At 42.4% G+C, this 23715-nt stretch overlaps 1 protein-coding gene and 2 pseudogenes across 4 annotated transcripts in view; 2 read left to right on the top strand and 1 right to left on the bottom strand.

Moving 5' to 3' along the window:
* Positions 1 to 23715, bottom strand: part of TANGO6 (transport and golgi organization 6 homolog) — a 241652-nt gene that overhangs the window by 57826 nt on the left and 160111 nt on the right. For 3 of the 4 annotated variants that reach the window (NM_024562.2, XM_047434633.1, XM_047434634.1), the window contains one exon: positions 4378 to 4529. The exons of the other annotated variant lie outside the window; for it this stretch is intronic. In NM_024562.2, the coding sequence (NP_078838.1) occupies positions 4378 to 4529 (152 nt within the window). The remainder of the gene's footprint in view (positions 1 to 4377; positions 4530 to 23715) is intronic. 4 annotated transcript variants of the gene reach the window in all.
* On the top strand, positions 688 to 1500 carry LOC101060098 (deoxyuridine 5'-triphosphate nucleotidohydrolase, mitochondrial-like; annotated as a pseudogene).
* Positions 20202 to 20305, top strand: RNU6-898P (RNA, U6 small nuclear 898, pseudogene; annotated as a pseudogene).

Genomic DNA, 23715 nt, shown 5'->3' with positions numbered 1-23715 from the left:
ATATGTAACTTTCCTGAAAATCCTAGGTTGAAATTTAATGAAAAGAGTAGCCCTTATAACCAAATAAAGCAAAATATATGAAGCTCAAGAATCAGGAAATACCATAAATTCAAGTGTATGCATACATCTGTGAGTGTGCTTCTCTGCTTATTGATATGACACAACTGCCAAACATTGAAAAAAATTCCCTCTCAGGCCCGGGCGCGGTGGCTCATGCCTGTAATCCCAGCACTTCGGGAGGCCGAGGCACGCAGATCACTTGAGGTCAGGAGTTCGAGGCCAGCTGGCCAACATGGCGAAATGCCATCTCTACTAAAAATACAAAAATTAGCTGGGCATGGTGGCTCATACCTGTAATCCCAGCTACTCAGGAGGCTAAGACAGGGGAATCACTTGAACCCAGGAGGTGGAGGTTGCAGTGAGCTGAGATTGCACCACTGCACTACAGCATAGGGAACAAAGCGAGACTCCATCTCAAAAAATAAAAAAAAGAAGGGAAAATTCCCCCTCAGTAGGTCATTCTTCAGATTTGATCCTCTCATCCCTGGAACCTGGGAGGTGGAGGCTGCAGTGAGTCAAGATCACGCCACTGCACTCCAGCCTAGGTGACAGAGCAAGACTCCACCACAAACAAACAAACAAACAAACAGATTTGATCCTCTCCTCTACTCACCTTCTCACTCTGCCATGCCCTGCTTTGATAAGACATCTGCCATTTCCCCCAGCTAGCAGGCCTAGCCTACAGAGGAGGGCATCATGCAGCTCGCTTTGCCTGGCTCTCTGAACATCCCATGGCCTCAACCCAGGGGTCCATGCAGGCTGCGAGCTATGACCTGTACAGTGCCTATGATGACACAATACCACATACAGAGAAAGCTTTTGTGAAAATGGACACTCAGATAGCCCTTCCTTCTGGATGTTATGGAAGAGTGGCTCCATGGTCTGGTTTGGCTGCAAAACACTTTCTAGATGTAGGAACTCGTGTCAGAGAGAAAGATTATAGCGTAAATGTTGATGGTATAATGTTTAATTTTGGCAAAAAAAAAGTTTGAAGTCAGTGGGGCGTGGTGGCTCATGCCTGTAATCCCAGCACTTTGGGAGGCTGAGGTGCGCGGATCACTTGAGGTTAGGAGTTTAGACCAGCCTGGCCAACATGGTGAAACCCTGTCTCTACTAAAAATACAAAAATTAGCTGGGTGTGGTGATGGGCGCCTGTAGTCCCAGCTACTTGGGAGGCTGAGGCAAGAGGATTACTTGAACCCGGGAGGCGGAGGTTGCAGTGAGCTGAGATCGTGCCACTGTACTCCAGCCTGGGCAACAGAGTGAAACTCTGTCTCAAGAAAAAAAAAAAAAAGAAAAAGTTTGAAGTCAAGAAAGGTGATCAAATTGCATAGCTCATTTGTGAACTACATTTTTTTTTAACTAGAAATAGAAGAAGTTTAAGATTTGGATGACACTGAAAGGGGTTCAGGAGGCTTTGGTTCCACTAGAAAGAATTAAAATTTATGCCAAGAATAGAAAATTAGAAATCATACCTTGTCTTAAAAATAAAGAGTTTTTGCTTAAAGTGGAAAAAAAAAAAAAAGGCCAGGTGCAATGGCTGATGCCTATAATCCCAGTGATATCTACAGGAGGCAGCCAAATGCCTACGCAGATAGGGGCAGGTACCCAGTGCAAACTTACCTCCAAGCTGAAGGCAGTTTAAAGCCCGAAAGCTAAGCTACAAGTTAAATTCTCAGACTGGATTGAAAACTTGTCTTCCTGTTTGGCACACTTTCCTCTGATTGGTCCCCACCCTTCACCTATTTTACATATGCCTACCATTTCCTAATTGGTTTTCTATACTGTGGGGCCCGCCTTTGAGTGGTGCCTTGTTTTAACCTTTTTTGCATACTCACAAACCAATCAGCATGCAACTTGTGCCTATGAAGACCCCAGACTCAGTCAGTAGAGGGGGAAATGGGTTGACTTCAGGGAAGAGACAACCTGAGTTTGAGGAAGACACCCTGCCCTTCATGTCCTCTCTCCAGCTCCCTTCTCTGCTGAGAGCCGTTTCATTGCTCAATAAAATTATTCTCTGCCCTCCTCACCCTTCAATGTCCAGTGTATCCTCATTTATCTTGGGTGCGGTATAAGAGCTTGGGAACTGCTGAATGTGGTACAAGCTATAACACAGGTGAGCTGGGGCACGCCAGCATGGCCAAGTGAGGCCAGGGTCGGGCATTCCCAGCCAGAGGTCCCTGGCTTGCAAAGTGACTGAGAAGAAAAATCCAACATCACCAGCACTTTGGGAGGCCGAGGCAGGAGGATCACTTGAGTCTGGGAATTCAAGACCAGCCTGGCCAACATGATGAAACACTGTCTCTACTAAAAATACAAAACTTAACCAGGCGTGGTGGCACACGCCTGTAATCCTAGCTACTCAAGAGGCTAATGCGGGAGAATCGCTTGAACCTGGAAGGTGGAGGTTGCAGTGTGCCGAGACTGCACCACCGCACTCCAGCCTGGGCGACAGAGTTAGAGACTCCATTTGAATAAAAAAAAAGGTAATTTAAACTGTATTTCACTTACTTATTTATAATTTATAAGGCATCTTCTTCCAAAAAAAAACTTAAGATGGTCATGTACATTGGTAGTAAAGACTCCTGGCCACATGTTAACTAGTCTTTTTCTGTCTATCATCATCTGTAAATAGCAGAGTAGGTGCACACAGCAGATACTCAAGATATACACTGATATATTGATGAGTACATAAATACAAGGCAAAGGTACAATTTAAGAGGCTAGAGGGGCCAGGAGGGGTGGCTCATGCCTGTAATCCCAGCACTTTGGGAGGCCGAGGCGAGCAGATCACAAAGGCAGGAGTTCAAGACCAGTCTGGCCAACATGGTGAAACCCCGTCTCTACTAAAAACACAAAAATTAGCTGGGCATAGTGGCATGCGCCTGTAATCCCAGCTACTCGGGAGGCTGAGGAGAACTGCTTGAACTGGGACCCGGGAGGCGGAGGTTGCAGTAAGCCGAGATCGTGCCACTGCACTCCAGCCTGGGCTACAGAGCGAGACTCTGTCTCAAAAAAAAAAAAAAGGGGGCTAGAGAAAGACACTCATAGAGGCCAGGGGCAAGACGCACATTTCATTAATTAATAAACTCTGAGTTCAGGTGTGGTGGCTCACGCCTGTAATCCTAACACTTTGGGAGGCTGAGGCAGGTGGATCACCTGAGGTCAGGAGTTCGAGACCAACCTGGCCAACATGGTGAAACTCTGTCTATACTAAAAATACAAAAATTGGCCAGGTGTGGTGACACATGGTCCCAGCTACATGGGAGGCTGAGGCAGGAGAACTGCTTGAACCCAGGAGGCGGAGGTTGCAGTGAGCCACGATTGCGCCACTGCACTCCAGCCTGGGTGACAGAGTGAAACTCTGTTTCAAATAATAATAATAATAATAATAAAAAACTCTAAAACCAGAAAAGCTTCTGGCCCCAACACGTTGTATGGCTATCATTTTGATGGTTCACCATTCATCTTTTCAATAATTTACTGATTACCTACTACATACCAGGCACTGGGTATGAAATGCTGAGCAAAATATGGAACTTAAGCGTTTTTTTTTGGTAAACAACACCATCCCCCTGAATACAGGGTGCCTCGGCCAAAGAGGGTCAATTAGAGTATTTGCCTGAGATTTTTCTGTGAGTGGAGGAGATAAGACTCACAGATGGCCCAGAGACTCAGGGTAAAGCTCTATCTACTTTTCCTAAAGGTTTCTCCAATTCTGTTAGTTACATCAGACTCTATGATAAATCATCTTTTATTGCTTAAGGTAGGTTAAGATGACTTTCTCTCAGCTGCAACTATGAAATTCTTACTAACATAATTTTTTGTTTTTGTTTTTTTTGAGACAGAATCTCGCTGTGTTGCCCAGGCTGGAGTGCAGTGGCGTGATCTTGGCTTACTGCAACCTATGCCTCCTGGGTTCAAGTGATTCTCCTGCCTCAGCCTCCTGAGTAGCCGGGATTATAGGCATGTACCACCACGCCCAGCTGATTTTTGTATTTTTAGTAGAGATAGGGTTACGCCATGTTGACCAGGCTGGTTTCAGACTCCTGGCCGCAAGCAATCTACCCGCCTCGCCCTCCCAAAGTGCTGGGATTACAGGTGCAAGCCACCATGCCCGGCCCTTACTAACATAACTTTCAATATACATGTGAGACAGATGAAGCCTTGGGAAGTTCAATGGCTCACTTGCCCTGTCTCACAGGGAGGCAGTGGCAGATCTGCAAAAAGAGCCCAGGTCTCCTGACTCCCAATCTCAAGATGCATCGTAGGTCCAAGTGAAAACACGCTTTAGAGAAAGGAATCAAAATACAGTACCTCATGGACCACGGAGCCCAGCAGAAAGTCCAGCCTCTGGCACAGCTCCCCAAGGTTGGCCAAGCTGCTGGCCCTGTGAGCACCATCAGGATCTCTCACTCCCCTCAGGAAGGTATGGATCAAAGGTTCTCGGTACTTTGAGACCATGTCTCCTATAGGAAAAAGGAAGAAATCAAAACCCCTTAAAACAAAATTTCAACTTCTTAAAAAAGGAAGAATTATATTTCCATAGTTCACTGCATGATGTCTTATTCTTTTTGTTTTTATTTTTTTTTTGAGACAGGGTCTTGCTGTATTGCCCAGACTGGAGTGCAGTGGCACAATCACAGCTCACTGCAGCCTTGACCTCCCAGGCTCTGGTGATTCTCCCACCTCAGTCTCCCAAGTAGTTGGGACTACAGGTGCATGCCACCATGCCCGGCTAATTTTTGTATTTTTTGTGGAAATGGGGTTTTGCCATGTTGCTCAGGCTGGTCTTGAACTCCCGGGCTCAAGCTATCCATCTGCCTTGGCCTCCCAAAGTGCTGGGATTACAGGAGTGAGTCACCGTACATGACCAATGTCTTATTCTTTTCAAAGTACTTGCATAACCATTAAAAATCATGCTCCAGAAGAATATTTCATGTTATGAAAAATATTCATGATGTATGGTTTTGTGAAAAAGCATGTAGAATCTCAATTTTATTCTCAAAAGTCTACATGTAGAGATAAAACATGTGAAGATATTCCCCATAGTGTTACTAGCAGTTATTTTCAGAGTCTTATTACAGAAAACTTAAAAAATTTACATACACGGCCAGGCGCGGTGGCTCACGCCTGTAATCCCAGCACTTTGGGAGGCCGAGGTGGGCGGATCACGAGGTCAGGAGATCTAGACCATCCTGGCTAACACGGTGAAACCCCCGTCTCTACTAAAAATATAAAAAATTAGCCGGGCGTGGTGGCGGGCGCCTGTAGTCCCAGCTACATGAGAGGCTGAGGTAGGAGAATGGCCTGAACCCGGGAGGCGGAGCTTGCAGTGAGCCGAGATTGCGCCACTGCACTCCAGCCTGGGCAACACAGTGAGATTCTGTCTTAAAAAAAAAAAAAAAAAGAAAAAAAAATTTACATATACATACAAAAAATGTATATATCATAAGTATATAGCTTAATAAACTTTCACAAACCCAGCCCAACTATAATTAGCCCATGGTCACACAAACAAAAAGTGTGGCCCCCAGGCTAGACCCTAGACCCCAATCATCAGCCTACTTTTCCCTGTCTTATCCTGCTGTCTGCTTGGATAAGCAAATTGAGTGAAAAACAATCAAGGCATTTGGGTCCTGGAGAAAGAGAACTATGATTATTAGACAAATATTTAACGAGAGGCCTAGTATGTGCTAAGCATTGTTCCAGATGCTTGGCATATGCTGCGAAACAAGAGACCATGATTCCTGCCCTTCTGTGGCTTATATTCTAGTGTAAATTAGATAGAATGTTAGAAGGTAATACATACTATAGGGGCAAAAAAAGTAAAACAGGTAAGGGAAATAAGGAATAATGGGAATGGTGGCCGACTTCAGGTTTTAAAAAGGTGGTAAAGGTAGGCTTCATTGAGAAGGTGACATTTAAACAAAGACTGGAAGGTGAGCGTATCAGTCATGTGCATTTCTGGGAGAAGAGCATACCAGGAAGAGAGAACAGCCAGTGTAAAAACCTGTAGAGGAGCACGCCTGGCATGTCTGAGAACACCAAGGAAGCCCTAGATGAGGCTAGAGAAGTAAGGGCAGGGATGGGAAGGTGGGGTAGATCATGAAGGGCCTTGCAGGACACTGCAAGGACTTGAACTTTTTCTCAGAGTACAATGAGAGGCCTTTGGAGGATTCTGAGCAAAGGAGTGCAAAAAGATCACACTGGCTGCAGTGCTGAGAACACATTGTTGGGTACCATGTATGTCCAGGGTGGAACAAGGGTCCAAGGTAGAAACCTACTACAGTAAGTAGCTGGAAAGACAACAGTAGAGGTGGTGATAAGAAGATTCCGCATACACACACACACCACACACACACACACACACACACACACACACACACACATACATACATATATAAAGGGGGGGTGGGTCTTGCTCTGTTACCCAGGCTGGAGTGATCACAGCTCACTGCAGCCTCAATCTCCTGGGCTCAAGTGATCCTCTCACCTCAGCCTCCAGAGTAGCTGGGAAGACAGGTGTATGCCATCGCGCCTAATTTTTTGATTTTTTTGTAGAAACAGGGTCTCACTATGTTGCCCAGGCTGGTCTTGAACTTCTAAACTCAAGTGATCCTCCTGCCTCTACCTCCCAAAGTGTTAGGATTACAAGCATAAAGTCACCTATTTTTAATCACCAAATGATGACCTATATTGATAAATCACTGACCTGTCCTACCAGGCCCAGTTCAAATGCCACTTTCTTTGTGGAACCTGCCTCTTCCCCTCAGTGAGCTTCAATTAGCCCTCCTTGAAAGTCTCACAATACTTTGTGCTTAAGTCGCTTTGACTTAAATCACATTTGTCACTCGTGCCTTGGTTCCTAAATGTTTTAAGCCTGTATCTGTTTCTTCCATAAGACTATAAATTCCTTGAGGGTAGAACTTTGACTCCTTCATCTCTGATCCCATCAGGTCTTAGCAGTCTTTGCATATACAGTCATGAGCTGCATAACAATGCTTTGGTCAATCATGGACTGCATATACAACACTGGTCCTATCAGATTGTAGGGCAGCACACATTTAGAAACCTGATCAAGTTGGGGATCAAGTTGGGGAAATAATTAGTATTAGATCAAGTTGGGGAAATAATTAGTATTCAGTAATGGTGCTGGGACACTGGGACATTTGATTTTCTGTATAAAAAATATATATAAATATAATATCATCTAGGTTTGTGTAGGCACATTTTATGATGTTTGTACAATGACAAAATCACCTAACTACACATTTCTCAGAATGTATTCCCATTGTTAAGCAACACATGACTGTACTAGGTACAGGAAATGGTAATATTGAATTGAATTCATTCATTTATTCAACAAAACATAATTATGTACTAGGTATCATGCTAATATTCTAGGAATACAAGAACTGATGAAATACTATTTTTACCCTTTAAGAAGCCCAAAGTAGGCTGGGCACGGTGGCTCATGCCTATAATCCCAGCACTTTGGGAGGCTGAGGCGGGAGGATTGCTTGAGCCCAGGAGTTTGAGACCAGCCTGGGCAACATAGGGATAGTTTGTCTCTACAAAACTAAAATGAAATAAAATAAGGAGAAAAGAAGATGCCCAAAGTTTAAGGAGTACATATAAACAGATAAGTACTGACAATTATAGAACTGTGTGGCAAATGCTGTCACAGAGTCAAGCAGAGGTTGCTCGAAAGCATGACTTTGCTAGTCTCAGTCCCTTGGAAGGAAGAGGACGAAGAAGTTTGTTTTTTTTCGTTTTTGTTTTTGTTTTCCCCTCAAGGTCCAAAGCACAATGTACCTTCCATACAGTATAAGAAAAAGATAAAGGAGTACTTTCTCCAAAATGCTCCCAATTCCTAACATACTACATGCAGTCATAAGACTCACCTCTGTCCTGTTAACATCAACGTATGCTGCCAAAACTAAATCATTGATGACCTAGACATAACCTATTTTCAGAATAGAAAAGAGGAGATTTGAATTGTCATCTCAGACTCTTTGACCCAGTCTTTGCATTTCTAATTATCTATCCTAGAGAGGTAGTTACATATCTGCACAAGGACATCTGCATCAAGAATTTAGTGAATTGTAATCGTGAAAAATGAGAAGAAATAAACTAAAAAATTCATATAGGAAAGGTTAAATAACCATGGTATACCCATATTACGGATTACTATGCAGTGATTAAAATGAACATGACAGAATTATATATACTGACATGAAAAGCTCTCCTCAAGACATTGTTAAAGTGAAAGAAACTACCAGAACCAGTATTCCCATTTATGTATGCAAATATGCACACACACAACTTTTCCTACTATTAACAAATCAAACATACAGATTTATTTATTTATTTATTTATTTTTTGAGACGGAGTCTCACTCTGTCGCCCAGGCTGGAGTGCAGTGGCGTGATCTTGGCTCACTGCAAGCTCCGCCTCCCGGGCCTCAACCTCCTGAGTAGCTGGGACTACAGGCACCCGCCACCACGCCCGGCTAATTTTCTTTTTAATATTTTTAGTAGAGATGGGGTTTCACCGTGTTAGCCAGGATAGTCTCGATCTCCTGACCTCGTGATCCGCCCGCCTCGGCCTCCAAAGTGCTGGGATTACAGGCGTGAGCCACCGCGCCCGGCAAACATACAGATTTAAATATGTACATTAAATATTCAAATGCATAGGAAAAAAGAGAAAGGACATATACTAAGACAAAGGAGTTAACTTGTTTGAAGAGTAAATAGAGCTGGGATCAAACTTAAATGGTCTGATACTTAATTCCTATGAGTTACCTATGAGTAACTCCTATGATATATTGCATTTAAGAGATTTCCGGCCGGGCGCGGTGGCTCACACCTGTAATCCCAGCACTTTGGGAGGCCGAGGCGGGCAGATCACGAGGTCAGGAGATTGAGACCATCCTGGCTAACACGGTGAAACCCCGTCTCTACTAAAAATATTAAAAAGAAAATTAGCCAGGCGTGGTGGCGGGCGCCTGTAGTCCCAGCTACTCGGGTGGCTGAGGCAGGAGAATGGCGTGAACCCGGGAGGCGGAGCTTGCAGTGAGCCGAGATCACACCACTGCACTCCAGCCTGGGCGACAGAGAGAGACTCTGTCTCAAAAAAAAAAAAAAAAAAAAAAGAGATTTCCAACGGCTGGGCATGGTGTGGCTCACCATGGTGAAACCTCGTCTCTACTAAAAATACAAAAATTAGCCAAGCATGGTGATGGGCTCCTGTAATCCCGCTACTTGGGAGGCTGAGGTAGGAGAATTGCTTGAACCTGGGATGATGAGGTTGCAGTGAGCTGAGATCACGCCATTGCACTCCAGCTTGGGCAACAAGGGTGAGACTCTGTCTCTCAAAAAAAAAAAAAAAAAGATTTCCAACTAAGACTAAAATATACTTTTCTACCTTTGTTGCAGTGCTTTCTCTTTCTGGAGTTAGGAAGGGGGCTTGCTCACTCTGCAGTGGGAGATGAGGATCCAGAGTTAGAGATCTGTGTTCTAGGGTTGGCCCTGCTGCCAACCAGCAGAGTGACCCCTGGGCAATTCACTTCGCTTCCCTGGAAGTGGAGATGAGCCAGTGAGACAAGATGACCTCTCAGGCCCCTTCCACTTCTAAGTGTGTGAGTTGGTGAGTCACTTTCAGTTTAGTCATTAGGAAAATGAGATTTAGGAGACTGGGGAAGGAAGAAAAGGCACACATTCATGAGCCCTGGAGTGGGAGGCTGTTGTGGTTAAAGGAAGAAGGTTCCTTGTCAGGAAGGAAGGCACATAAAAAATGAAGGAAGTTTGGAATCTACAAGCAGGGGAAATTGCAGGTTGAAAAGGGTAAGAACACAGGAGAAACATTTTAATGTTTACTAATATAGTGGCTTATAGTTAAAAATAAATGATAAAGAAAAGGCATATTAACTTATCAAATAATGATTAAGTGTGTACTATGTGTCTGCCACTGTGCTGGGCCCTGGGGGACTAATCATAAGCAAGAAAGATACAGTCCTTACCCTCATGGCAAAACCTAATGGGGAAGAGGAAAAATACTGACCAAGCAATAACAATGGAGTGAGATGTGCCAAAATGGTGACAGAGAGGGACTTTTATGAGTAATGTTTGATCTGGTTTCTATTCTATTAACAACAGCTCCAGTATTATCTTATTTGCTCAGACTCTAAAGTGTGTTCATTTTTTTTTCACTACTCCCTGTTACCCTTCAATTAGTTCACTTATTATTCAGTCTTCGTTTACTTCCACACAGGATCTGAAGCAACTTACAATAAATAACGTTGAAACCATGTGTCATTAAAATAAACATTTTAGGCTGGGTATGGTGGCTTACACCTGTAATCCCAGCACTTTGGGAGGCTGAGGTGGGCGAATCACCTGAGGTCAGGAGTTTGAGACCATCCTGGCCAACATGGTGAAACCCATCTCTACTAAAAATACAAAAAATTTAGCCAGGTGTGGTGGTGCCTGCCTGTGGTCCCAGCTACTCAGGAGGCTGAGGCAGAAGAATAGCTTTAACCCAGGAGGCGGAGGTTGCAGTGAGCTGAGATCGCACCATTGCACTCCAGCCTGGGTAGAGACTCCATCTCAAAATAATAATAATAAATAAAATAAAATACATAAAATAAATATTTTAAAACCTCTACAGTAAGTGAGAGAAGTGCAGACATCCCAAGCTAAGAATGGCTACTGCAAATAAACCAAGAGTTTAGTAGTTTAATTTTACAATTCTTGGTAGCTAAGGCAAAAAAGGAATTAGAAAACACAGCTCTCATTATCCAATAAAAGAAGGAACATCATGAAGAGAGAGAAACTTCAGGAAGGACACTAAGAGGTATCTCATTCATTCATCCGGCAAATCTTTTTTTTTTTTTTGAGATGGAGTTTCGCTCTTGTTGCCCAGGCTGGAATGCAACAGCGCAATCTCGGCTCACCGCAACCTCCCTCTCCCAGGTTCAAGTAATTCTCCTGCCTCAGCCTCCCAAGTAGCTGGGATTACAGGCATGTGCCACCACGCCTGGCTAATTGATCCAGCAAATCTTAATTGAGTGCCCACAGTACTCCAATGTGCCAATGTTCTCAGTACTGAGGACAATATGGCATGAACAAGAAATCAAAGCTCCCATCTTCATGAAGCCTACTTCTAGCGGGGAAGAAAGACAATAAATAATAAAATTTCCAGCAGCAATGAAGGCTATGAAAAAAAATAAGGAGCGGGGGAGTTGACAATGTGGGTGAGGGCTCAGGGAAGAGCTCTCAGAGGAGAAGACCTCAAGGAACAAGGCATGTGAGGGCCTGGTGGAAAAGTGAAGAAGAGAGTGGGCAATAGAAGCTTTATATTCAATGCAGGAATCATACGGCTGTTTCTTATACTGACTGGCCATATAAGTCAAGAGCATATCACTATATTAACAAAACTGCAACTTAACGTTCCATTTATGTAAATTCCTGCCCTAACTGAGCTCCAGCACTCCTTTGAAAATGAGCATCCATTGGCCAGGTGCGGTGGCTCATGCCTGTAATCCCAGCACTTTGGGAAGCAGAGGGGGCGGATCATGAGGTCAGGAGATCGAGACCATCCTGGCTAACATGGCGAAACCCGGTCTCTATTAAAAATACAAAAAATTATCTGGGCGTGGTGGCGGGCGCCTGTAGTCCCAGCTACTCGGGAAGCTGAGGCAGGAGAATGGCGTGAACCCAGGAGGTGGAGCTTACAGTTAGCCGAGATCATGCCACAGCACTCCAGCCTGGGCGACAGAGCAAGACTCTGTTTAAAATAAATAAATAAATAAATAAATAAATAAATAAAATAAAATGAGCATCTGTTAAACTACATGCTCCATCAACCCATCCCAGCTACATCTGAGAACCCAAGAAGCCAGTGGGAGTGTCAGCATCTCAGACCCTGCATTGTACCTGGTCAGCTGGCTCTGGGCTCACTTGCTACCTTGTTTTCCAAGTGTTGGACTGGAAGAACTGGAACACTCACTGCATCCACTCTGCATTTCTCAAAGGGCCCCTGCCTCCACGTTCTCCGAGACTGGACCTCTCTTAGGCCTCACATACATAGCCTAGATCTGTCACATACTTGGCTCAAACCTGGTCTTCTTTGGGGATTTATGACCTTGCCTTCATTTCTTGGGGCTCTGCTACCCTCTGACTAATCTTCCCTCCCTTCTGATCTTGTGATAGAGGTCTCAGGACTGTATTGTACCCTAGTCTCCAGGTGGGAGTTGGCTTGAACTGGTTTCTATGGAGAACAAAATGAATGCACATAGTCAAAGAATCTTCCAGGGCTGCAATTTGGCATAGGCATTGAATTTTAAGATCCTACATAAGAGGTTCTTTGTCTTTTCTTTTTCTTTTTTTTTTTTTTTTGAGACAAGGTCTTGTTCTGTCACCCAGGCTAGAGTGCAGTGGTGCAATCATAACTCACTGCAGAATCAAACTCCTGGGCTCAAGAGATCCTCTTGCTTTAGCCTCCTGAGTAGGGTGGGACTATAGATGCACACCACCATGCCCAGCTGGTTACAATTTTTTTTACAGAGATTGGGCCTTGCTATGTTGCCCAGGCTGGTCTCGAACTCCTGGGCTCAAGTGATCCTCCTGCCTTAGACTCCCAAAGTGCTGAGATTATAAGTGTGAGCCACTGTGCCCAGCCCAGGGGTTAATTTGAGCTTTAGGGATTCCTCTATGTCAAATTTTGTATACATCTCACTGGCATTTTCCCAATTTTCCTTACAAACAGTACATTAATTTTGTTCAAGTATCCACCTGTCGCCATCCCTCCCCATGTGATTCAGGCTACAGTTTCCATTGGTCTAAGTGAATCGTGGTGGACATCTCCCTTTGCTTTAATTGGTTTAGGCATGGGCATGTGACCCAGTTCTGGACAAGGAGTTGTGAAGGAAAGTCTGCTAGAAGACTCTCAGAAAACTTTTTGCCTTTGGCTATCATAAGGATATATGAATTAGGGTTGCCTTAGAGTTGCTGCAACCAACTTGAAACCATGAGGAACTAAAGGATAAGGCCCATAAGCTGTGGTTGACAGAGAAAGATGAAAAGAATATGGGTCTTCAATGATGTCACTGAGCTAGAGAATTAGCAATCCTGGAATTTTTGTTATGTGTGATAATTCATTCTTTGTTAAGCCACTTGAGTTGGGAATTTCTGTTACTTGCAGCCAAAAGCATCCTGATATATGAAAACTGGAATGCTCTTCATATATAAAGTTGTAGAATACCTCAATGTCAATCCTATGTCTATCAATATGAAACATCAAAAAAGTTAGATTTGTCAAAACTAAGGAACTTGGGGGCCAGGCACGGTGGCTCACGTCTGTAATCCTAGCACTTGGGGAGGCCAAGGCAGGCAGATTGCCTGAGCTCAGGAGTTCAAGAGCAGCCTGGCCAACACAGCGAAACTCTGTCTTTACTAAAAATATAAAAAATTAGCTAGGCATGGTGGCACATGCCTGTGGTCGTAGCTACTCGGGAGGCTGAGGCACGAGAATTGCTTGAGCCCAGGAGGTGGAGGTTGCAGTGAGCCAAGATTGTGCCACTGCACTCTGGCCTGTGTGACAGAGTGAGACCTGGTCTCGGAAAAAAAAAAAAAAAAAAGGAACTTAAGGCAACCCCGCCTTTTTTTTTTTTTTTTGGAGACAGGGTCTTGTTCTGTCGCCCAGGTTGGAGTGCAGTGGTGTAATCACGGCTTATTGCAGACTTGACCTCCCAGGTTCAAGTGATTCTTTTACCTTAGCCTCCTGAGTAGCTGGGACCACAGGCGCATGCCACCACGCCCAGCTGATTTTTGTATATTTTTGTAGAGAAGGGGTTTTGCCATGTTGCCCAGTCTTGTCTCAAACTCCTGAGCTCAAGTGATCCTCCCACCTCAGCTTCGGCCTCCCAAAGTGCTGGATTACAGGTGTGAGCCACTGTGTACATATTTTTAAAATGGCTCAAAAGTCAATTTTATAACCAAAGTATAACAAAAGAAAAAATTAAACCAAATAATTTTCTTTCCTCTAATTACAATTTTAATTGAGACAACAACCTGGTATACAGCATGACTCCTATAATATCAGCATATATACATATAACTTTCCCAAAGAGCTGAATCATCTTAGTATATGTGCTAACCTATTAAAAAAAAAAAAGGTGTGTAACTACTTACAGTAGTAGCTTGCAAGAAGGAGTTACATGCTGAGTGTATTTCACAACTATTGGCTAACCTATTTGAGTATGAATTAAAATCTAGGGTTCTGGGATACCCACTATTATTTCCTAGTTTCTGATTGGCAACAAAACCACTATTATCCCATCCAGGAGGGGTTCTTTGGTTTTGGTTGTTGCTTCTTGTTGTTTGTACTTTTCTTTATCCAGATGAGATGTTCCCATTGACTCAGTTGAAACTTATTTGAACCGTAAGGCTCCGAGATCCTAATTCATCTTTTAATGAAAGACAGCACACATTTGTCCCCTGACAAGGGCAAACATTCATTACTATTTCTCTGTCTCCTTAAAGATATGCATTAAATGACTTTTACAAAAAATACTGATTTCCAAATTCCCCCACACCATTTTCAGAAAGCATTCATTACAGACTACAACATTTAGATGAAGAGGCACTCATGAAACTGAAGTTAAAGAGACAATCTTCTTTTCCTCAGGTATTTCTTTCTTTTTTTTTTTTTTCCTTTTTTTTTTTTTTTTTTTTTTGAGACAGAGTTTCGCTCTTGTTGCCCAGGCTGGAGTGCAATGGCACGATCTTGGCTTCCTGCAACCTCCACCTCCTGGTTTCAAATGATTCTCCTGTCTCAGCCTCTTGAGTAGCTGGGATTACAGGCATGCGCCACCATGCCTGGCTAATTTTGTATTTTTAGTAGAGATGGGGTTTCTCCACGTTGGTCAGGCTGGTCTCGAACTCCCAACCTCAGGTGATCCGACCACCTCGGCCTCCCAAAATGCTGGGATTACAGGCGTGAGCCACCGTGCCCAACCTCCTCAGGTATTTCTAAAAAGCTTCAGAGAAATGAACACAGTAAATCCAAGCCCACTTTTAGAAACTTACTCCAGTAGATTCTAATGAGTGGGGTTTATCTTAGCTTAGTTCTAATGGCTTCTACTTTGTGCAATGGTAATGACAACACCTGGCTATTTGCAACTCCCTATTCTCAGGAAGTCAGCACCAATCAACCTTATTGAGAAGCAAACAGCTGTGTGTTCAAGAAAGCCAGTGAAGGATCTAGATTTGTTTGAACAAACTTGACAAAAATGAGTTGCTTTGGAAGGTGAACAATCAAGTGAGAGAGCTGAAAAAATTTTAACCTGCCTATGACTTGCCTATATCAATTCTGGCATTGTGAAAAGATTCTTTTAACAAATTAGAATTTGGAAGATTTTTCATTAAGCTTTTCAATGGTACTCTGAAGTCTAGAGTGATCGATTCATTTATGCATATCAGATCCCATCTTCTTCCAGAAAGGATCTGAAATGACTTGCAACAAGAGTTGCTTACATAGCAGAGGGGTGCTGTCAAATCTGAATTAACAAGATTTGGGCAGCTGAGGTGGGAGGATGGCTTGAGGCCAGGAGTTCAAGACCAGCTTGGGCAATATGGCGAAAGCTTGTCTCTAAAAAAGTTATTTTAAAAATTAGCTGGGTATGGTAGCATGTGCCTGTAGTCCCAGCTACTAGGGAGGCTGAGGTGGGAGGAGGACTTGAGCCCAGATGTTCGAGGACTGCAGTAAGCTATGATTGTGCCACTGCACTCCAGTCTGCGTGACACAGCAAGACCCTTTTTCCAAAAAAAAAAAAAAAGAACACACTAAACTTTTGGAGTCAGAGGACCTGCTAATTTCAAGGGCTCAATCATTCCCCTAATTCACTAAAACAGGTCATAAAAGTGAAACTGAGAAAAATCAAGTAAGAAAAAGAATTCCACTCTGCCAAATTCTTACACCATTCTTTTAAAACTCTATTATTAATGTAGGGGGGCTCTCTTCTTTCTCCTCCTGCCCCCCCTTTTCTTTTTGAGACACACATGTGAACACAGACAAAACCATTCCTAACTGCTCTCTTCATTTTCTACCAAGAAGAAGTAACTAAAGAATATCTTATCCTGCACATTAAGGTACTGCTAGCTAAAACGAATTATATTTTCCAAAAATCGAATGATTACTTACAGCCAGCACTCCACTGTAATCAGAACTTTACACACATTCTGAATAATGTTTTACTCCAATGTTTCTCAAACACACATATGGGCATTAAAATTGTGCAATGCAACTTGATTATAACGTGGATCCTGGTGATTCAGAATTATTATTAAAATGAAAACACAATATTTTAAACATTATTTTAGAGAATACACATAGTCCTGAAAATATATCAGAATTTAATTTCCAAACTGCAGTTTAAGAAATATCTTTCCATCTAACCAATTCAATGAAAACATTGAATGTATACATACTATATGCAAGGGAAGCCATACGGCACTGGAGATTGAGAGATGATGGAGATTTTGTCCTTACTTCTAGGAAGTTAGAGGTACTAAGCAGGATGAGAGCAACAGGATGGGTGATATCTATTCTTCTTGGGGAAGATTTCATGGAGGAGGGAGCACTTAAACCTAATCTTGAAGAATGGTAAGGATTCTCATAGGGGCAGACAAGAGGAAGATTGCTTCAGGTAGACGGAGCTGTGACAGCAGAGGCAAGGTGGTGGCAGGAGTAGAGAGACAAAATATATGGTATATTTAGAAAACAGCAACTGTACCAGGTAACTGCAACGAAGGGCACAATGAGAGGTGAACATGATCAGAAACAGGCGGTGTCAAATCATGGAGGGTGTGAAATTAAAGATGTAAACAATGCAGAGCTGATAATGCTTTTTCGGGCAAGGAAACAGCTTAACTAGAGATACATTCTTGGTGGAGTAGAATTTAGATAATGTGTTCACTGAGGATGGAGGTCTTTGTTTTATGATACAGAATGAGGTTTTTAATCTCCAGTGGATCATTCTACTGCAATGCCTTTAGCATAACATTACTCTGGTGCAAAGTCACCATAATCTCACTACAGTTGAAGAGTATGATAATCTTTTGGGAATCAAATCTCTCTTCCAAATGAATGATGGCACAAATAGTACTGGGACTGCTCCATTTAGTGAGGGTAGCAAATAGAATGATAAGATGATACACAGAATGATTGAAAACTTTCTAGATACTTTGGCAAGAGAAAGTCTTTCTCTATAACAGTCATAGAGGAATCAGGTCATCAATCGCACAGTCATTTGGGGGTGGCCTCACCAGCTTAGCAGCACTGACACCCATTTCGCTCTTAGTACATGCATGAAATAATTTAATTCACTTCAAGCAACTGATGTATCCTAATATGCCCTTGAGTTCCTGCCACCAAATGCCAAAAGTAAGTATTCAGGTTAGCAATGAATATTCTGAATAAGAAAATAATTCCATTTGCAATTGCATTGAAAAGAATAAGATAGGAATAAATTTAACAAAAGAAGTGCAACATATACTCTGAAAACATTATTGAAAGAAATTAAAGAAGACAAATAAATGGAAAGACATCCCATGTTCATGAATTGAAGGACAATATTACAATGGCAATATCCAAAGTTGACCTACAGATTCAACACAATCCCTACCAAAATGCCAGCTGCTTTTGTTGTTGTTGCTGTTGTTGCAGAAATTGGTGACCTGATCCTAAAATTCATATAAGAATGGAAGGGATCCACAACAGTGAAAAAGTTGGAGGACTCACGCTTCTGATTTTAAAACTTACTACAAATCTACAATAATCAAGATAGTATATACCGGCCTAATAATAGGTAAATCAATAGAATAAAACTGAGGGTCAAGAAATAAACTCTCGGGCCAGGCGCAGTGGCTCACGCCTGTAATCCCAGCACTTTGGGAGGCCGAAGTGGGTGGATCACCTGAGATCAGGAGTTCGAGACCAGCCTTATCAACATGGAGAAACCCCGTCTCTACTAAAGATACAAAATTAGCTGGGCATGGTGGCGTGTGCCTGTAATCCCAGCTATTTGGGAGGCTGAGACAGGAGAATCGCTTGAACCTGTGAGGCGGAGATTTCAGTGAGCCGAGATCACGCCACTGCACTCCAGCCTGGGCATACAGAGCAAGACTCCGTCTCAAAAAAAAAAAAAAAAAAAAAAAAAAGAAATAAACTCTCCTGTTTATGTTCAATTGGTTTTTAACAAGAATGCCAAAACAATGGAGAAAGAATGAGGCTGGAACAACTTGATAGCCACATGAAAACCCCTTCTTGACACATGTACAAAATTAACTTCAGCCGGGCTCGGTGGCTCACACCTGTAATCCCGGCATTTGGGAGACTGAGATGGGCAGGTCACCTGAGGTCAGGATTTTGAGACCAGCCTTATCAACATGGCAAAGCCCCATCTCTATTAAATATACAAGAATTAGTCAGGCATGGTGGCAGGTGCCTGTAATCCCAGCTACATTGGAGGCTGAGGCACGAAAATTGGTTGAGCCTGGGAGGCAGAGGTTGTGGTCAGCTGAGATCGTGCCACTGTACACTGTACTCCAGCCTGGGGAACAGAGTGAGACTCCATCTCCAAAAAAAAAACCAAACAAACAAAACAAAACAAAACAAAAATTAACTTCAAATGGATCACAGATTTATGCATAAGAGATAAAATTGTAAAACTCTTAAAACATACAAGGCCAGGCACAGTGGCTTACGCCTGTAATCTCAGCCCTTTGGGAGGCTTAAGTGGGAGGATTGCTTGAGGCCCAGAGTTCAAGACCAGCCTGGGAGTGATGGCTTTGATCAACATAGCAAGATCTCGGCTGTACAAAAAACAAGAAAACAGGAGTAAATCTTTGTGACTTTAAGTTAGACAAAGCCTTCTTACATATGATGCCAAAAGCAAAAGTGACAAAAGAAAAAATGCATACTTTGGACTTCATCAAAATTAAAAACCTTTGTGCTTCAAATGTCACCATCAAGAAAGTGAAAAGAATTTTGATAGTGAAGGAGGCTGTGTGGTGGGGAGGGAGCATATGGAAACTCTCTCGATTTTCTGCTCAATTTTTATGTGAACCTATAACTGCTCTAAAAAAAAAGTCTATTTTTTCTGAAAGAAAAAGCCTATTCTTTTTTTTAAAAAAAGTGAAAAGACAACCCACAAAATGGAAGAAAATATTTGCAAATCATATAAGTGTAAGGGACTTGTCTCTTGAATCTATAAAGAACTCTTACAACACAAAAAAGAAAGACAACTCAATTAAAAAAGATCTGAAAAAACATTTCTCCAAAGAAGATATATGAACGTCCAAGAAGCACAGGAAAAGGTGCTCAACATCATTAATCACTGGGGAAGTACAAATCAAAACCATAATGAGATATCATTTCATATCCACTGGGAGGGCTGTAATCAAAAGGGCAGACAATAATAAGCCCTGGTGAGGAGAAACTGGAACCCTTCTACACTGCTGGTGAAAATGTAAAATGGAAAACTTTGGAAAACAGTTTGGCAGTTCCTCAAAAAGTTAAACATAGAGTTACCATATGACTCGAGAGAACTGAAAACACATTTCCACATAAAAACTTGTACACAAATATACATAGAAGTTTTATTCATAATAGCCCAAAATTCACATATCCATCAACTGATGAATGGATTAAAAATGTGGCATATCCAGGCCGGGCACAGTGGCTCACTCCTGTAATCCCAGCACTTTGGGAGACCGAGGCGGATGGATCATGAGGTCAGATCGAGATCATACTGGCTAACACAGTGAAACCCGTCTCTACTAAAAATACAAAAAATTAGCAAGGTGTGGTGGCACGTGCCTGTAGTCCCAGCTATTGGGGAGGCTGAGGCAGGAGAATTGCTTGAACCCAGGAGGCAGAGGTTGCAGTGAGCCGAGATCGTGCCACTGCACTCCAGCCTGGGTGACAGAGCGAAACTCAGTCTCGAAAAAAAAAAAAAAAAAGAAAAGAAAAAAGAAAAAAAAATGTGGCATATAAATACAACGGAATATTATTCAGCAATAAAAAGAAATGAATTACCAATACATGCTACAACACAGATGAACTTTGAAAACACTGTGCTTGCCTCAGCAGCAAATATACCAAAATTGGAATGATACAGAGATTAGCATGGCTCCTGTGCAAGGATTACAGGCAAATTCGTGAAATGTTCCATGTTCAAAATAAAAGAAAAAGAAAACATTATGCTAAGTGAAAGAAGCCCACATGGTGTATTTCGTTTATATGAAATGTCCAACTCTAAGTAAACCCTTACAGCAGCAAGTACAGTAGTGATTGCTCGACTGGGAATGGGTACAAGGTTGCTTTTGGGGTGATGAAAATGTCCTAAATTGATTGTAATGGTGAGCATACAACCCTGTGAGCATACAACAACAACATTGAGGTGTACACTGTAAATGGTTGAATTATATGGTATATGAATTCTATTTCAATAAGTTTGTTTTTGTTTTTATTTTTGTTTTGAGACAGAGTCTCGCTCTGTTACCCAGGCTGGAGTGCAGTGGTGCGATCTCAGTTCACTGCAACCACCGCCTTCCAGGTTCAAGGGATTCTCCTGCCTCAGCCTCCAGAGTAGATGGGATTACAGGCGCGTGCCACCATGCCCAGCTAATTTTTGTATTTTTTTTTTTAAGTAGAGATGGAGTTTTGCCATGTTGGTCAGGCTGGTCTCAAACTCCTGACCTCAGGTGATCCACTTTCCTTGGCCTCCCAAAGTGCTAGGATTACAGGCATGAGCCACCGCACCCAGCCAGAAGTCTGTTTTTTAAAAAATGAAACTTTGCGAATGAAAGGGTCAGAACGAGGACTGGAGAATCTATTTTTCAGTGAAGCTGGAAAAACAGAAGCAACATATAAAAATATTCACATACTAGAAAAGAAGCAGTCTATGTGTGTAAGCACAATCTGATAAGAAACACAGCCCTGCCTCCCAAAAACTCAGAGACCAAAGGCTTGGGACTAATCTCACAGACAATTCACAATCCTTGCTCCCCTCAAACAGAGGAGGCAGGAGATCTGGATTCTTCGGTGATCTGCCCACTACAGGAACTGAGTTCTGCCTGCACCACCAGCCAAGCAGAACCCAGGGCTTTCCCACTGCTTTCTGACTGGCATCGCTTCTGCCAGCTCTTCCTTTCCTTATTTGTCAGTAAACGATGGTGACAATATAATTTCAGTTTTTACTGCTTCAAAGCCGGCCATTTAATGAGTAACATTTGTAAAAGCCTTCTAAATTTTCATTGTTTCTGTTTTTGAAAAAATATTAGTATTATTTAAAAGTTTCTTAACAGAGGCAAGAAAAACACTGCAGATTCAGACTCTTGGAGGTCCTTATGTCAAAGGCATTCAAACCAGAGTGACTCCACCTTGAATAGGGGCTGGGTAAAATGAGGATTCAACTTGCTACCTTTTTTTTTTTTTTTTTGAGATGAAGTTTCATTGTTGTTGCCTAGGCTGGAGTACAATGGCACAATCTCAGCTCACTGCAACCTCTGCTTCCCGGGTTCAAGTGATTCTCCTCCCTCAGCCTCCCAAGTAGCTGGGATTACAGGTGCCTGGCTAATTTTTGGTATTTTTAGTAGAGACGGGGGTTTCACCACGTTGGCCAGGCTGGTCTTGAACTTCTGACCTCAGGTGATACACCTGCCTTGGCCTCCTGGGATTGGCCTCCTGAGATTACAGGCATGAGCCACCGTGCCTGGCCGCTACCTTTTGTTAAATTTCGATTTTGGATTCTCTGTCCTTTATTTTGGGTAGATGGGAAAGTGGCCATAAGACCTCTGGCTTGGGAGCCTGACTGCAGCCTCCCATTGTCTGGGTGCCCCAGATGGGAGCACACCTGGAAGGCCACTTCCTTAGTAGCCCACCCTGTCACCCCTTCTCTCTGACATTTTCTCTTTAGTTTCTAACAATTGGCCATTTTACTTTTCTGCTCTTACTGTCAAATTGCATGCTTATCCTTTTTTCTTTGTCACGTTTGTAGTTTTTCCTTTGGATAGTTGAGCAATTGGTTAAAGCAAGACACTTGGTTGTGAGTGGTCCCCCACTGTGTTGATCCTGGGATGCCAGAGTCATGTTGTACTGTGGCCCCCAACTGTGTTAGGTCTCATGCCTTTGGGGTTCACTGTTGGACACTCCCAAGATGCTCTGGGGTTTTCAGCACTTGGTACTGTTTGTCATCCATGCCAGATGCTCTGGGGTGTTCGGAATTGGCATTCCCTCTAGAATTGTGGGTTAGAGTCCCACCCTAGGGGAATCCCGGTCTTGCTTTTTCTTGTTTTCTACCCTAAAGTTATCATTTTCTGTAACAGCATTTTCTTGTCTTGTCACTTGACTTAATGTTTCGATGCAGGAGGTGAGAATTTGCAGTGGGAGACAACCGGATAGAAAGACAGATAGAAAAAGTTCTATGTCTAGTAAAGATCCTTGTTAGACATGGGGACAATAGTCCTGAAGGACTTGCTACTAAGGTGCCTTTTAAGCAACTGGAGCAAATTCAAATTAGCAAACAAAGTTTAGCCATGTGGACAAGTCCCGATTTTGTCAGAGAAATAATTTGGGGCTGGGTACAGTGGCTCTTGCCTGTAATCCTAGCACTTAGGGAGGTTGAGGCGGGCGGATCACAAGGTCAGGAGTTTGAGACCAGCCTGACCAACATGCTGAAACCTCATCTCTACTAAAAATACAAAAATTAGCCGGGCGTGGTGGCAAGCGTCTATAATCCTAGCTAATCAGGAGGCTGAGGCAGGAGGATTGCTTGAACCCAGGAGGCGGAGGTTGCAGTGAGCAGAGATTGTACCATTACACTCCAGCCTGGATGACAGAGTGAGACTCCATCTCAAAAACAAAAAAAAAAAAGAAAAGAAATAATTTGGATCTAGCTATCTTTTATGAAACGGTGAGTTTGTATTACTATCTCATGACTAGAGTTTCAAGATAAAAGCTATTGGATCTTTATGTGTGTGCATACATGTCTAGCTGTGTTTACGTGTATTTACATTTATTATGTTATATATTGTTTACAGGGTAACAAATTGACTTATAAGTAAAAGAGCACTCATAAATTAAGTAAATAAGTCCAAGCATTTTTCAAGTTCATTTAATTTAAACTCATTAAAATTTAGGATTACTAAAAATTCATATATAATTCTGTATGTAAAATGTGCCAAAGAAGATATGCTGCTATTGAAAAAAATTTTTTTTTTTTGCCAATTCAGATGTTATTTAAAGTGGGGTTTAAAATGTGGATTTAGGAAGAAAATAGAAACAAGATAGAAAGAAAAAAAACAGTAAGTAGGGGAAAGAGATGAGTAGAAAGTTATGGATATGAAGATGTATTTTTGATAAGGAAGGCTATAAAGAAAAGAAATTTTATGTGAGAAAGGATCTTGTATGGTAAATTCTTGTCCTAAAGTAGAATGACTGATTATTTAGGAAAGAAGAAAGTATAGGACAAGTCAAAAGGTCCAAGCATGTCATAGGTGGTCTATGTAAGTCATGATAAAGTTCATAAAAGATAACTTATTAAACTTTTTTATATAATTAAATAAACTACAATGAAAGAAAATTAAT

The sequence above is a fragment of the Homo sapiens genome, chromosome 16 (assembly GCF_000001405.40).
Source record: "Homo sapiens chromosome 16, GRCh38.p14 Primary Assembly".
NCBI lineage: Eukaryota > Metazoa > Chordata > Mammalia > Primates > Hominidae > Homo > Homo sapiens.
This window is presented reverse-complemented; position numbering and strand designations above follow the sequence as displayed.